Source organism: Homo sapiens, chromosome 11 (genome assembly GCF_000001405.40).
Source record: "Homo sapiens chromosome 11, GRCh38.p14 Primary Assembly".
In the NCBI taxonomy this organism is placed as follows: Eukaryota; Metazoa; Chordata; class Mammalia; order Primates; family Hominidae; genus Homo; species Homo sapiens.
Window position 1 is genome coordinate 89349262 of NC_000011.10, and position 17831 is coordinate 89367092.

The 17831-nt window shown below is 34.5% G+C and overlaps 1 protein-coding gene across 8 annotated transcripts in view; it reads right to left on the bottom strand.

Annotated features, from left to right (window-relative positions):
- The window catches only part of NOX4 (NADPH oxidase 4), a 265205-nt gene that overhangs the window by 24909 nt on the left and 222465 nt on the right, over nt 1-17831 (bottom strand). For 7 of the 8 annotated variants that reach the window (NM_001143837.2, NM_001300995.1, NM_001291926.2 and 4 more), the window contains 1 exon segment: nt 5701-5782. In NM_001143837.2, coding sequence (NP_001137309.2) covers nt 5701-5782 — 82 coding nt within the window. 8 annotated transcript variants of the gene reach the window in all.

Sequence of the window (17831 nt, forward strand, 5' to 3'; positions counted from 1 at the left end):
AGGCAACAGAGCGAGACTCTGTCTAAAAAATAAAATAAAATAAAATAAAATAAAATAAAATAAAATAACTTGGCTCAGGATCAGATGACAAGTACATTACAGACATGCAGATTGAACAGAAATTATTAAAGATAGATGATATCTTGAAGAAGAACTCAAAACTTGGCTAGGAAAGAGAAAGGAGGATAAGCTGGAGAACAGACTATGGAAAGGTCATCTGAGGCTTTGCAGTTTAAGGGTATTACCCAAAATCACCATTTGAAGTCATTTTTACGTAGCCCATTAGAAATGAGATTGAGGTAGGACATTGCTTTTATTGTCCAAACAATCAAGGTTGTTCTTTGGCAGCAAACCAAGTCAAAAAAGAACAGCTCTAAAATTTGTCATAAATGATATTCCTCTCTCTAAACAGTTCCGATATTAGGAAGCTCAGAGAACTTGATCTTTATGAGAACCAAGTAGAAACAGTTTATTCTTGTATTTTCACAATATTTTTACCTACATTGTGGTTAAAACTTCCAGAGCCAATGGGTCATGTTTTGCTGGTTTAATTGCCAAAATGGTTGCAAGTAATTTGTGGATAAAATTATACCAGATGTACTTAACCATTTTACATGTCCAAGCTGTATTTACAAGGATAAAAATATATTATAACTACTCTCTAGTCTACATGTTATGAACCTAAATCCTTCAGAGTTTATTAGCAATAAAACTTGTTTTTTATCTCCATTTGTTTCCTCCAACCTATAAATCAACAATATGCATTTTGTATTAGATGCACATTCTTTTTTTATTCCTTTCCACTCATCTGTCTCTTTCTGACAACTGTCACACCTATTCATGTTCTGAGAATTTTCATGGAGCAATGTCTACAATTACATCCTGATGAGAATGGATGCCCTGGCTTTGGCAGTGGGTCAAATAAGAGCTCACAAATGTAAAAATTGATTAATGAACATTCTTGTATTTTAGAAGAGTGTTCCCAAGCACCATTGCAGGAGTTATTTTTTAAATGCCTTTCCTTTAAACATATACATACATACACATATACATTTCAGAACTAGTCAGTTCTCTTCATGAATATTTTTCACCTATATAAAGGACATACATTTCCATATTTCATTATTTGTTAGATGTCTCTTGGTAACAGGAAGTTAAAGATTATAGGGACACTATGTTGACTAAATAGAAACCCAAGTCCAAATCCAAACTACCACAGCTCACACTAACCAGTGCACAATGAGTCCATGTTAGTGATGTTATGATCTATGTTGGTTATGCAATGATCTGTAAATACTCTGTGATATGGTATAACTTTATAGGGCAAGGAAGTTGCTTTGTAACCCATATTTTAGGTCTTAAAACATATTTCAATCAGAAAAATGAGGAAAAAATATCAATGTAGATACATACAGCAGTGGTTGTGAATGAAATACATTCTAATTGTTTGACTCACCTTTCAACTTTACAGAATTTTTTTTATGTTACAAAGCTACAAATTCTTTGACTTTCAGTTATCTGCAATGATGAATAAATGTGTGTGTTCTGACTGCAACTACCAACCATTTCTCCTTCTTATTCCCTTACCTGGGACCATCCTCTTCCCTGAGACAAAACAATATTGAATTTAGGCCAATTAACAACTCTAAAATGGCCTCTAAGTTTCAAGTGAAAGGAGAGTTGCATGTCTCTTACTTCAATCAAAAATTGGACACGATTAAACTTAGTGAGGAAGGCATGTTGAAAGCTGAGATAGGCATAAAGTTAGGCTTCTTGCGCCAAACAGTGAGCCAAATTGCTAATGCAAGGGAAAAAGTTTCTGAAGAAAATTTAAAGTGCTACTTCAGTGAACATATGAATAATAAGAAAGCAAAACAGCCTTATTGCTGATATGGAGAAAGTTTTAGTGGTCTGGATGATTAAACCAGCCACAACACAACATTCTCTTCAGCCAAAGACTAATCCAGAACAAGGCCTTAACTCTCTTCTATTCCATGAAGGCTGACAGAGATGTGGAAGCTGCAGAAGAAAAGTCTGAAGCTAGAAGAAGTGGTTCATGAGGTTTAAGAAAAGAAGCCATCTCTATAATATAAAAGTTCAAAGCAAAGCAGCAAGTGCTGATGGAGAAGCTGCAGTATATTATCCAGAAGATCTAGCTGACATAATAGATGAAGGTGACTACACTAAACAACAGATTTTCAATGTAGACAAGACAGCCATCAAGTGGTAGACGCCATCTACGGTATTCACAGCTGGAAAAGAGCAGTCAATGCCTGTCTTCAAAGCTTCAAAGGATAGACTAACTCTTGTCTATGGACTAATGTAGCTGGTCACTTTAAGTTGAAGCCAATGCTCATTTACCATTCTGAAAAACTTAAGGCCCGTAAGAATTATGCTAAATCTACTCTGTTTTCACTCTATAAATAAAAGAACAAAGTCCAGACGAAAACACATCTGTTTATAGATAGCATGGTTTACTGAATATTTTAAGCCCACCAGAGAAAAAAAAAGAAGATTCTATCCAAAGTGTTACTACTCACATAGGCAGTAAGCAAAGCTCACACCAGAACAATAACAATGAAATGGATTCAACCTAAGTGTCCATCAATGGATGACTGGATAAAGAAAATACTGCATATACACATAATCAAATACTGTTCAGGAACAAAAAAGAACAAAATAATGACTTTTGCAGCAATATGGATAAAACTGGAGACCATTACCCTGAATGAAATAACTCAGACACAGAAAGTTAAATACTTCATGTTCTCACTTAAAAGTGGGAGCTAGATGATGTGTACACATGGATGTAGAGTATGGAATGATAGACAGTGGAGACTTGAAAGGTTGCAGGGGGGCTAGGAAGTGGGTGAATAATGAGAAATTACTTATTGCATACAATGTATGTTATTCTGGTGATGGATACCCTAAAAGCCCTGACTTGGCTACTACACAATCTATCCATGTATCAAAATTACATACGTACCACAAAAATTTATACAAATAAATTTTTAAAATTACTGCTCATTGACAATGCACCTAGTCAACCAACAGCTATGATGTAGATGTACAAGGAGATGAATGTTGTTTGCAGGCCTGCTAACATTACATCCATTTTGCAATCCATGGATCAAAGAGAAATTCTGACTTTCAATTGTTATTATTTAAGAAATACTTTTCATAAGGCTATAGCTACCATAGACAGTGATGCTTCTGGTAGATCTGGGCAATGTAAATTTAAAAACATCCTGAAAATTATTCACCTTCTAGATGCTATTAAGAACATTCATGATTCATGGGAGGAAGTCATAATATCAACATTAATAGGAGTTTGGAAGAAGTGATTTGAGCCCTCATGGATAACTTTCAGGCGTCCATGACTTCAGAGGAGGAAGTAACTACAAACATAGTATAAATAGAGAACTAGAATTACAAGTGGAGCCTGAATATATGATTGAACTGCTGCAATCTCATGATATAATGTTAATAAATGAAAAGTTGCTTACTATGGATGAGCAAGTAAAGTAGTTTTGGTTTTGTTGTCTGTTTGTCATTTTTTGTTTTGTTTTGTTTTTGGAGATCGAGTTTCACTCTGTTGCCCAGGCTGGAGCGCAGTGGCACAATCTCAGCTCACTGCAACCTCCACCTCCTCGGTTCAAGCAATTCTCCTGCCTCAGCCTCCCAAGTAGCTGGAAATACAGGCGTGTGCCACCACAGCTGGCTAATTTTTGTATTTTTAGTAGAGATGGGTTTCACCATGTTGGCCAAGCTGGTCTCAAACTCCTGCCCTCAGGCGATCCACCTGCCTCGGCTTCCCAAAGTGCTGGGATTACAGGAAGAAAGTAGTTTTTTTGAGATAAAATCTACTCCTGGTAAAGAAGCTATGAAAATGCTGAAATGACAATTTACTTGATAAAGCAACAGCAGGGTTTGAGAGGATTGAGTACAATTTTTAGAGAAGTTAAGCTGTGGGTAAAATGCTATCAAACAGCATCACATGCTACAGAGAAATCTTTTGTAAAAGGAAGAGCCAACTGATGCAGCAAACTTCATGGTTTTATGCTAAGAAATTGCCGCAGGTGCCCCTACCTTTAACAACCACCTTCCTAATCAGTCAGCAACCATCAACATCGAGGAAAGATCCTCTACCAGCAAAAAGTTTATGACTTGCTGAAGGCTTAGATGATTGTTAGCATTTTTAACAATAAAGTATATTTTAATTAAGGGATGTACATAGTATTTCTAGACATATCTAGGCTACTGCACACTTAAAAGACTACAGAATACTGTTAAAATTACTTTTATATGCAGTGAGAAACTTAAAAAAAAGTGTGACAGCTTTATTGCAGTATTGACTTTATTGCAGTGGCCTAGAATCAAACCCACAATATCTCTGAGGTATTCCTGTAGCTGCAAATAGATAACCACCTGAGAAACTACTATGACTACCCTCTTCAAGCAAAGGCATTAGGCAAACTGTAAGCCTAAGAGGCAGAAAAGCAGGCATCATCAGCCTCTGCCAACAGCCACTGTAAGTAAAAATACAAATAGGCGTGCACCAATCCTTTTAGGCACATTCATGCTCCTGGTCAACATGTACGTATAGAGCAAAGTATGCATTCAAGGCTGTATAGGCACATGTATGTCTTTGTGTGTGTTATCAGGGGATTGCAAGTTTATTGCTAAAAATTAAGCCTGGATTAAAATTTGAAACAATGCACAAGCAGTATAATTAGGATTCTGCATTTATTTTTGTGATCATAATTAAGTGAGTATTATCAAAGCTAAGTATTAGAGGGAAAATAATTTCCCCGGAAAGCAAAGTTTATGAATACTTGAAAAAACTCTCAAAGCGATGAAAGAATTTGGCATAGTGATTAGATGAAATATGTATAAACCAAATTCTATTCCTTTAAGTTGATGGCCTTTCTTTTCTATTTTAGATATTAGTTTATTTATTCTTTAGCCTGTTGCACACTAACAATTAAAGAGAGTTAAACACTCATAGAGGAGGCCCCAAGATGCCACAGGAATGATCAAGATTCAGCATGCGTCAGTCTTTAGGGAAGGAGATGTGTTATAAGAGTCGTGGTATTTCCTTAACCTTCGGGAAGATGAAGGCATATTCCTTCAACAAGGACATACGCTTGGGGCATCTATGAGAAGGAAAGGTCTGCTTCACATAACAAAGCGTCAGAAGATTTCATTTCCCCTGTTTTCAATACGATAAATAAGAATATGTAGAGATTGTCAAAAATCATAAGAATATGTAGAGATTGTCAAAAATCATATCTAGCCCACGGCTATTTTGAAAATGACTTGCTACAATATAAATGAATCCTTGCATTTAAAGGACAGTAAATAGAAAACCAGATGAGGCATCACTGACAAAATACTGTCCCTGTTGATATGACATCAAGCAAAAAGAACCAGACACAGATGCACACAGCATGTTGTCTGCACTGTGCGGCAGCTCCTCAGTCAAAGCTGGGTTGCAATTACAAGTAAGTATTTCTTCTATGACCCAGCTGCAAGGAGCCTGAGACATTATATTGCAGAAGATGTCTTAGTTAGTTAGGGTAAGTTATTCAAGATTTTCAGAAATCTTAAGAAAGATTACATTTTGTTTTTGCCTGCCCAAATCTCTCCCAGCACTATGCCCATTGCCTCATCAAAACCCAGTGAACTCCTTTTGCTTACTTGGGATAATTTCTAGATTGAATGAAGGGCAGAATTTCGGAGTCTTGACTAGATGGAGGCAGTAGTAAATCTCGAAATCGTTCTGTCAAAAGAAAAATAAACATCAAGCTGTGAAAAGATAAAAGTCATGAAAATAATTTCAAAATGGAAGTATTTCCTATTGGTTTATTTTGTTAGACATTTTGACTGTATATCCATCCTTTATTAGAAATTTACCCACCATTTTATGTATTACTAATATATACATAGTGTATGTATGTGTGTGTGTGTATATATATATAGATGGATTATAATATTTTAATCATAAATATATATGTAGCCATTAAGGATAAATAGGTATAAATATATAAATAATATATATTCATATATATATTTTAAATATATAAAATTAAGCCTGGATTAATATTTGAAATAGTTATATTTATCCTATAAATATACATAATATATACATTTCTACATATAGATATTTCTCATATATAAATATAAAAATATATTTTTTTTCCTTAATGGTAACATATATCTTTATGATCAAATCTTATCATTGAAAGGTTAGAGAAAATATACATGACCAATAAACATACTAAGAGATGCACAGTCTCTTTAGTAACCCATGCAATGTGAATCAAAACCAGACACCATTAACTAGCATTTACATCATGTAGCATTCAATTGACAGAAATTAGTCTCCCAAGACCAAGTGTTGGAGAGGATGTTGATCAACCTAAGCTCTTATGTACTGCTGGTGGGAGTCCAAATTGGTACAATAGCTATTGAAGACAATTTGGCATTATCATTTAAGTTTTACTTTTGCAAAGTCTGTGGCCCAATATTTCCATTCTCAGGGACACACCCTGCAGAAACTTTCACATGTGTCTTAGACAGCAAGTATGAGCATGTTCACAGTAGCACCACTCATAGAACAACATAAATGGAAGCAGCTCAGTTGCTCATTGACATGAGAGAATGGACATTTGTGCTTATTCGCAAACAAAATGAAGTACTAACTGAAGTGAAACTGAATGATTTTATTTATAAATAAAAACCTAATGAATCATATTAATATAATGTTGAGTGAAATAAAATCTCCGCAGATTGCATGTAACAGAACATAATTTTTATTGAGTTAAAAAACTAAGCAATGTATTATTTAAGTATGATATATATGAAATAAAGCAAACCAATTAAAAAGGAAGGACATGCACAATTCAGAATAATGACTATCTTTTAGGAAAGGTAGGGGGATGAAATAGGAGAGAAGCAAAAGGGTAAATGTAAGTAATTGTTGGTGTTTCATATGTATTAATTGTAATATCATAAATGAATAAATAAATAAGTGAATGACGGCCAGGAAAAGACCAATAATGACTGCATATCATGAGCTAAGAATTGATTTAGTAAACTTCAGTGCATATGAATTCATAATGAAGAAAAGAGAGAAAATAGGAGGGGGAGGGGAAGAGGAAGGGGGAAAAAAAAAGGACAAAGGAAAAAATCCTAGATGTTACCTTGGAAATACTTACGTTGCATAGCTATCTGCATGGCATAGAGTATGCACATTTTCAGGAATAGGTATGCATTACCTCTAGAGTCATACCTATGGAAAGGCTTCCTTGATCCCTCCATTACTTTTTTGTTCTCTCCTCCTGCCCAATTTGGAATAGGCTGGACCTACTGTACACTCCCAGTACAACTTGTGCTTCCACCTTCACAGAGTTTATCACACTATGTTTTATTGTTATATGTATTTATCTCTCTATCCCTCTTTCTTCTTCTAGTAGATGAGTATTGTGCCACCAAGATACAGAACATTATCTGATACATAATTAAGGTGCTGGATAAATATTTGTTGAAGAAATATTTCCAACATCTATTTTTACTGGAGAAAACTGTTTGTTAAGGTTAATCATAATAACTCCCAGCAGAGACCAAACGGTCATATATCAACCATGAACAGCAAGTGGACCCATACTCCTGTCTTGATACGGTCGCACAGTCAGGCTTAGATAGTATGCAAAGCTAACACTCCCCAGCTGCAGTAAATCCTTCACTAACTGAAGGTGAGCATTTCCACAAAATGATGAAAATATACACTTGATGACAATTGCCATTTCCTAGTTTATGAATAACTAGATGTTAAATTATTTGGAATACGGCAGTCACAAAGTGGCCAGTGCTTCCTGAGAAGCAGAATGTATATTTTATCTTCATATTTATTAAAACATACTGAATCAGAGATACATAACTGGCTTCTACTGTTTTTTTTTCTCTCAAAATTCTGACATTTCTTACAACATAGATGAGGAGGAACTAATGAGATCCAAACACAGATGTGCTTACACTCTGAAGTCTAGAAATCCAAAAAAATACTCTGTGTTTTTCTCGAATTATACTCTTTTAGTTCACATTTTTAAATATTATATTATTGGCTGATATTTGGGCTGATATTACTCTGTTTAATTTACAAAATTAACATTTCTTTCAATCAAATGACTAGTAAACTTTCTGATGATAAATAACCCTTGGTTTTCAGTCTACTTGCCAATTTATGCAGTACTCATTAAATGAGTAATGTGTAATGCTCTATCTTTTCAATTTTTTTCCCACTTAGCCTTTTCCTAAAATGAGTCTTGAAAAATCAAGCCAAAACCCAACAGCAAACAAGAACTTTACATATCAGGTAAAGAACCGTTAAATCAAACAGCTATATGTGTTATGATATTCCTTGAAAGGTAATAGTATAAATTAAAGTTTAGTGAATTTCTCCCAAACTTGTTAAAAGCAAACAAAATTCGGAATTCTTAATGCACACAACTATAATATAATACATCCTTTTCGCAGCAATAAGTGTTTCTCTTTTTACATAACCATAAAGGACATATGACAATAATTCCAGAGAAAAGAATCTCTGCAGATGACATATTGACAGGACTAAAAACACATACACAGATGCACACGTGTGTGTGCATACACACACACACACATACAGCAAAAGCAGCAAAAAAGACATCACTTATAAAGCTATAAGGAAACCTATAACTAATGTTCCTATATTTGGAACATCCTTTAATCAGATTATCAGAAATACAAAGAATACCAAGCAAACATCTTGAATAGCTATCGTGGTTGTCAAAAAGGTTCATAGGCAGGGCATGGTGGCTCACACCCATAATCCCAGCACTTTGGGAGGCTGAGGCATGTGGATCACCTGAGTTCAGGAGTTTGAGACCAGCCTGACCAACATGGTGAAACCCTGTCTCTACTAAAAATACAAAAAATTAGTCGGGCATAGTGGTGGGTGCCTGTAATCCCAGCTACTCAGGAGGCTGAGGCAGGAGAATCACTTGAACCCAGGAGGCAGAGGTTGCAGTGAGCTGAGATCATGCCATTACACTCCAGCCTGGGCAAGAAGAGTATAACTTAATCTCAAAAAAAAAAAAAAAAAAAAGAAAAGAAAAGAAAAGAAAGGGTTCATATATACATAAACAGAAAGTAAACACAGAACTTTAAAAGCATGTCTTTTAAAAAAATTTTATTTTTATCATTATATTAATAAATTCTTAAATGTGAACAATTAATTTTATCTTATAAAGGCATACTGATTATTCATTTATTTCTTTATAAAAATAGATAAATGATAACAATTATCCTTAGAAAAGTTCAAGTAAATGGAAAAATTATTTATAATTATTTAGTTCTTTAGTCTCACAGATTTTTGCCTATCAGTTATTTAATTAGCATCCTGTTGTCTATTTGATTATGAGGAAAAGGCCAAAATAATTTGATGTTTTATTTGTTAAGTAAAAAAAAAAAAAGATATATTAATGCTACTTCTTTTGCAGGAAAATGTCAAACCAGATGACCTACTTTCTCAGCAGGCTCAAACTGTTTCTTAAGAAAATGGCACAGTTATCCAAATACTACAGCTCAGTCCTTTCACAGGACTTCTTAGAAGAAATTCATTAAAGCCACTGGAAAAAAAAAAACAGGATTTTCTGCGAAGTGATACCGTGATGAGCTGACTAACGATGTGATAATGTCTGAACGTGATTTTCTACCAGTAGGAGATATATCTTAATTAACACAAGCTTTTGTAGACCTTCATCCACTCTTTCTTTCTCCCATTCAATCAACAAAAAGATTATGAGGCCCTTAGACCTGGATGACATACTGCACACAATTATATTAATTTGCATTCTCTGGTTAATCAACTGTGACACAATATACTTAATTATTTGAAAACAAAGATGAGAAAATTAAAATCCTCTTTCAATTTCTAATTGAAACTTTTTCTACATCTTTTTGTGACCAAGATGTTTCATTTTCTCCTTTGCAGAAAATGACCAATCTCTAATCCACCCCAATATGCAGAATATACCAAATGCAATAAGGATTTACATAACAATAAAAAGCAGTAGGCATTTTTTTTTTTTTTTTTTTGAGATGGAGTCTTGCTCTGTCACCCTGGATGGAGTGCAGTGGCATGATCTCAGCTCACTGCAACTTAGCAGTATGCAAACCTATTCCTGGGATGAGAAGAAAATAAAACCTCTTACCACTACAAAAAAAAGAAAGAAAAAAATATATAAAAAACAAAAGTAACAATGATTAATGCTATTCTTGTATAACCTAAAGATCCTTTGCATCTAGAGATGTGATCACTGTCACATAATTAGTTTTTTTAACAGCAACCTAAGAAAGACCTATTGTTTGCTAGAGAGACCCAGACAGGTTTTGCCAATTCCAAATCATTGTTTTCCTTCAGGTAATCCCCCTTCCCTAACTGCCTCTCTATAACCTCCTCTATAAAAATGAATATTTTAACTGTTTTGAGTATTAGATTTTTCAGGGTAATAAAAGAAGTCATATAAAATATTTCTAAGAGAGACAGTATTTCCCTAAACAAAAGGTACTTGAACAGAAGTTCTTTGCATTTTTATTAATAGGTTAATTTTTTTATCTTTCTGTTAATGCTCACATTATACTAATTTGCCAGTTTTAATTTTTTTTAAATGGCATCAAAACGAAATCCTTAAGGGACATTAAAGATTAAGACTCTATTAAAGTCTTTACCTTAGTTTTAAGAACACCTAGTATATTGTAACCTATTAATAGTATTAGAAGTTATATTGCAAGGAATCAGACAGTACTTCATACCCCAAAAAGGGTCAATAAGATGAATGCACCATAATATCGATATTATTTCACATTGTTTTGGCAATATAGGCTGAGGATTACTTCTTAATGCAGGAAATATTATCAGAGAGTATACATGAGAAAGGAGATACCAAAGGACAAATCTTTCTTCACTCATACAGTCTGCAGTATTTAGCAGCAACAGGTCATAAGAGAAAAGACACCGTTGCCAAGTAGATCTTAAGTATTCTTACCACACACAACAAAGGTAACTATTTGAGGTGATAAATACGTTAATTAGCTTGAGTGTGGTAATCACTTCACAATGCATATGTATACCAGAGATATGTACTCCCTGAAAATACATAATTTTACTTGTCAATTATACCTAAATAAAGCAGAAAAGAAATTCTCTTGGAAAAAGAAAAAATAAAAGAAACAACACTCAACTGGTTGTCAGAGAGCCTGAGTTCTTGACCTTAGTCTGCCTCTATTCTTAATTCCTTTTCTGAACTCACAACTGAGTCAGATGAGTTCAGTGATCTTTAAGCCACCTTTTAACTTTGAGTTGCTTAAAAAATATTTGCTTATATTCTCAAACTTTGCATCTGACAAAGGACTAGTTTCCAGAATCTACAAGGAATTAAAACAAATCAACAAGAAAAAAACAAATAATCCCATCAAAAAGTGGACAAAGGACTTGAGCAGACATTTCTCAAAAGAAGACATACAACAGCTAACAAACATGAAAAAATGGCCAACATCACTAATCATCAGGGAAATGCAAATTAAAATCACGATGAGATGCTACCTTACTACTGCAAGAATGGCCACAATTAAAAAGTCTAAAAACAATAGATGTTGGTATGGATGTGGTAAAAAGGGAACACTTTTACACTGCTGATGGGAATGTAAATTAGTGCAAATGACTATGTACAATACATGGAGATTCCTTAAAGAACTTAAAGTAAAACAACCATTCAGTCCAGCAATCTCACTACTAGGTATCTACCCAAAGGAAAAGAAGTCATTACATGAAAAAGACACAGGCACATGCATGTTTACAGCAGCACAATTCACAACAATAAAGATATGGAACCAACCTAAGCACCCATCAACTAACAAGTAGATAAAGAAAATGTGGTATACATACAACATGGAATACTACTCAGCCATAAAAAGGAACAAAATAATGTCTTTTGCAGCAACTTGGATGGAGCTGGAGGCCATTATTGTAAGTGAAGTAACTCAGGAATGGAAAACTAAATATCCTGTGTTCTCACTTATAAGTGAGAGCTAAGCTAACCTTTGAGGACTCAAAGACATAAGAAAGATATAATGAATTTTAAGAACTCTGGAGCGGGAATGTTAGAAGTCGGGTGAGGGATAAAAAACTACATATTGGGTACAGTGTACATTGCTTGGGTGATGGGTGCACTAAAATCTCAAAAATCACCACTAAAGAATTTATACATGGAACCAAAATCTACCTGTACCCCAAAAACTATTGAAACAAAACAAAACAAAAAAGAATATTTGCTTAAGGAATGAAAAGAAATCTTAATTAAAGTCACTGAAAGGGAGTGGGGCCACATGTCTTTGTTTGACTGAGACTATTCTGGTTTATTCCTGCTGTCCTAGCATCCTGCTCCATTTCATATTCACATGAGATTTTATTTTTAATTAAATATTAATAAGAAAATAAGCTAGGGGTCATGTAGTTGATACAGAGAAGTATCCCCCAAGTGCCTCTTCAGTGAAGAACTTGTTGCCCAGCTGTGGAGAGCGCAGTTGGCAGGCAATCTCCATCTGTCACTTCCATCAGGGTCGGCCTCAGATGCAAAGCAAATACCTCTCACAGAGCAGCTCACATCCATTGACTGAACAAGGCAAGGATATTTCAGCACTACACAGGCAACTCTGATGGGCAATATTTGCTCTAGTTCTTCCCACCAATTTGGCTGGGCTTTGTTGAACCTGCCTTGTTTCAAATTCTTCCTTCCCCCAAACCCTCTTTGTTCTCTTTCCTGTCATGGGTATTGATCCCTAATAAGCATTTTACATTACACACAGACACAGACACACACACACACACACACACACACCTTCTAGCTAATCCAACCTGAAACACAGGTGCTTCATAGATCTCCACTTTGTACTGAGAACTTCTACCAAGTTCTCGGCTACTGTGGGGTGTGATGCATGTGCATGTGTTTAAGTAGAATAAAGATCAGCAATAAATCATTTCTCTTTTTCCAGAACCTTCCAGATGTTACATAAATAACACCTCTGTGGCATGTGCAGGCGGTCACTGTCAATCCATTTTGATTACTCTTCCAGCCATGCTGTCCAGTATCTTGATCATGCCCACCTTGACTCTATCAGTTAAGTATTGCCTGTTGGCTCCTGATCATATATAATAGCTTTTTATTTTATCTATATCTTGTTTGAATTTTTAATCTTTAGATTTGTTTGAATTTTAGTTTTCAGTATTTATCTAAAAGTAATCTATCAATCATCTATCTATACGTGTGTGTGTGTATATATAGATATATATTTAAAGAGTAGATGTAGGGCATGGATGTGCACACTACCACACATGAACATATCTTCAAGAGTAGTTGTCATTCATTCATACTCCCCATATTATAGATCTTGGAGTATTATCCCCTCCTCCACCTACCAAGGAAAACACCACACCAATGCAGACACACAATACACACAAACACACACACATGATGCTTGAAATAGAAGGTACAAATGAGTTTTCTCACAACATGTAGGAATTACTATTTAAATATGTAGACACAAAATGTGAACACCTAAAATAAGTAATTTCTCAGTAACATTTCTGAGCATGCACTGTAAGTCAGGCACCAACTGAGGTTCTTCATGGGCTAAAGGTCTAGCAGAGAAGAGGTCTAAATAATGTGCTTCTTTCCTTTTTTAAATAATTTTGTAATTGCATTCTAAATTATTTATCAAAAGATACAAACGCTACAAGTAAATAAGTGCTAAAGGTATGCTCTGAGAGTTTGGAATAGAACAGTCAACTTAGCCTGGATATGCTGGTAACAAAAAGCAAAAGAAGCGGAGAGGTTTTATAAAAAATAAAACAAACCAACAAAGGAAGTCCTTTTGAGCCGTGGTACTAGATAAGGTGAATATTTTTGCTCTGTTACATATATATCAATAATCTATAATGATAGAAAATTTAGAATTGAAAATAAAATCAATATTTTGGATAATCAGAATTTCATCAGTTAAAGCATGTTTTATTCACTTTTTCACTCATCTAACAAACTTTTATTGAGTACCTATCATTTGTCACATACTGTGAACAAAACAAATTATTATCACCAAGGCAGCTCTGTTTATTAAGCACACACAAAAAATGCCAGGACAACAAAAGAACTTCAATGCCATTATAGCTACTTGAAAAGAATTTAGAATGTAATTACAAAATTATTTAAAAAGGGAAAGAAGCACATTATTTCTAGGGATTTAAAGAAATTAATGGTTTGTCAAAATTTGGTATTTATTTTCCTTAGAAGTATGCATATTAATCTTAGAAAAACAAATTCCTTCTAAAAAGAAGAATTAAAGGGCAAACTTAGAGTATATCCATACCAACTAGAAAGATATGGAGCATACATCTCCCTACTGAAAAGTTTGTTTAAATCAAGCGAATGTCCTTTATTACCATGGTAACTCAATAATAATACATGGTAATGCATAGTAATACATGGTAACTGAATAGTAACAATATAATAGTAACAATGTTGCTATTTAAACTATTGGTTTCAGATAAACATGAGAGGCTCTCAAATTAGTACTACTTTACATAAACCAGGAAATCAAGTTGCAACTTATTAAAGATATAGGCAGGCCAGGTGTGGTGGCTCATGGCTACATTCCCAATATTTGAAAGCTTGAGGCCAGGGATTTGAGACCAGCCTGGGCAACACAGCAAGACCCTTGCTCTTCAACAAAGTTTAAAAAATTAGCCAGATGTGGTGGTATACACCTGTAGTCCTCACTACTTGGGAAGCTGAGACAAGAGGATTGCTCAAGCCCAGGATTTTGAGGCTGCAGTGAGCTATGATTATGCTACTGCACACCAGCCTAGGTGACAGAGTGAGACCCTGTCTCTCTCTCTCTTTCTCTCTCTCTGTTTGTGTGTATATATATGTTTACATACACACATACATATATACACACACATATATATTTGCCTATATATATTACATATGTAGACAAATCTTGTGTCATAAGATTCTAGGATTCAAATGAAAATGATTTATAATTCTAGAAGAAAATAAAATGATTTACAATTCCAGAAGAAAAAACCCTATCACTCGCATGCTCTGGTTATATAAAACTATCTTTTTTGCAAATATTAAGGCCATGTCAAAGCAATATAAAAAACAGAACTTTATACTGTCTTACATAAGGGGAAAAAAATCCCTAAACCCATACATGTAATTTTCAGAAGATGAGATGTATGTACAACCAGAGCTAATGAATGAATAAGAACACTAATAGGAAAACAAAATAAGCAACATAAAAATCCTCTACTTGACATGTATTCTCCATAGTATTCCTGTAATATTTTCTGAACTATACCAAAATTTATCTACTATCATTCACACATTATGTGGAATTGAATTATCTGTATCTTAGAATTTATTTCTTTCAAAATAATTATACCACTTTACAGCAATAATGAACTGAGAAATTAGGAAACAACTCCCTCAATTTGGTATGCTGTAGACAAGGAAACTAAAAACCAACCAGCTGGCTGATTGTCTCAAGGTCACATGGCTAGAAAGAGGCAAAGATACTTAAAGAAAAGACAAAAACAAAACAAAAACACTCACAGTCCAGGGTTCTTTCCACTGCCGTCATACTGCCTTATTCTCTCCCGAGAATATACAGTACTCCCTTTTCTCCCCTCCCTCCTTTTACTTTCTTCTTGCCTAAGGATTACAGGATAAGAGAAAGCTTAGCAGGGTCATATGCCATCTGCATGCCTCAACATCTGGTACTTTTAAATACTGTAAGGTCTGAAGGTAGACAATGCAGTATTACACAAAGGAAGAATATTTAATGGATCCTTTTATTTCCAGGGGGAGCAGAGTGATAAAAGTCTATTTCTGTGATACTCATTATTTTGCTTCTTATTTGTTTAACACTTTATTTTAAAAAAATCAAAAGCAGTTTTTGAAAGAACTACAGACAGACTTCTTGGCCCCTAAATACATCAATGAATCAATGCCTAGAACTGGATTTCTTATAAAATATAAATTGGCGTTTATTGCCACAGAGGCTAAACTATAACAAAAAATGAAAGAGGGTGGGAAAAAAAAAAACAGTTTCAAAGAAAGTGAAGGCAAATAACAGACATTGTTGGGTAAACACATTATTGCTACTAAGCTTTCTACAATCCACCTTTTAAGAAAAATGTTATATTTTCATTTGTCACATCAAATGCATTTTTTTTTAACAATGTTGGCTTTCATCAAAAGAAACACCTCAGACTGATCAAGACTCAGCTCCATACTAATTCAGTTCCTGGCTTCTGCAGAAACTGAATATATCTTAGATGTGTATTCAAGAAAAAACAGGCCATTTTATCCAAGACCAAGACCACGCCCACAAAAAAAAAAAAAAAAAAAAAAACAGGAGATTTTCTTTTATGTTTTATGAAGTTCAAATCTAAAGAACCGAGCAAATAAAATCAATGCCATGCAATATATGGGCCTTTAAAGCCAATAGAAAACAGCCATGTAGTGAGTCTTCTCTGTTCTTAAATAGAAGATGTCTTGGCCGAAGACCAAGACTATGGATCAGGGAAAAACAACAAGCAAATACATAAAATGATTAGCAAGTGTATCAAGAAAATGAGTACTTAAAAATGTTCCTGATAATAATGATAATGGCACAAAACCCTTGTCCTTTTGCTTCCTTTGAAATTACTTAGTCCATTAACGCTAGGCTCATTTGGCAAACTGACATATGCCTTCTTAGCCATTCAGTACATTATGTGGTGTTTTTGACATTGATTAATAAATTATGTTACCAAGAAAATCCCTCATAATTCTTATTTTCTTCCATGTTACATAGTAAAATCAAGTAGAAAATACTGGATAACAGAGACTCTAAGCAACTTTTAGGAACAGAACAATTCTAATAAAAATATAACAATCCATAAAAAGAAACCACTTCACCACAATAACTCTACTTCCAGGTCCAGTAATTGTATGATTTGTTTATTTTCAAAACTAAAAAGTAACATTTTGGCCAGGCACAGTAGATCACTCCTGTAGTCACAGCACTTTGGGAGGCCGAGGTGGGCTGATCGCTCGAGCCCAGGAGTTTGATTAGCCTGAGCAACATGGCAAAACCCTGCCTCTACAAAAAATATAAAAATTAGCCAGGCATGGTGGTCTGAGCCTGTGGTCCCAGTTACTCAGGAGGCTGACATGTGAGGATCCATAGATCCTTCCATAGATCCTGGAAGGTCAAGGCTGCAGTGAGCCATGACCATATCACTGCACTCTAGCCTGGGAGACACAGCAAGACCTGTCTCTAAAAACTGAAAAGAAAAAAAAAAAAAAAAAGAACATTGTGAAAATTGGATAGAAAACAAAAATTTGGTATTTACTCCTATGTTTGGGTTTGTGAAATGGCTGGAACGAATAAAACTTAATGACTGGTGAATTCTTTATTTACTAAGCAATTTTTATATTTCTGTAGTATTTTAAGTGAGCTGTAACCTACTAAAAAACATGACAGCATATATTTAACGTTCATAAAATGAGAAACCAAGGGAAAAACAATTTATCTTCTTTCCTGAGAATGGATGGGCACTTAAATTGTAGTACACATATAATGTGCCTCTCATTTTCCTGATAAAAAAATTTCCTTGATTTCTGAGGCTGTAGAATTTATGCCCAGTTCACATTCATTGAATGATTTATTATATTGTGATAGTA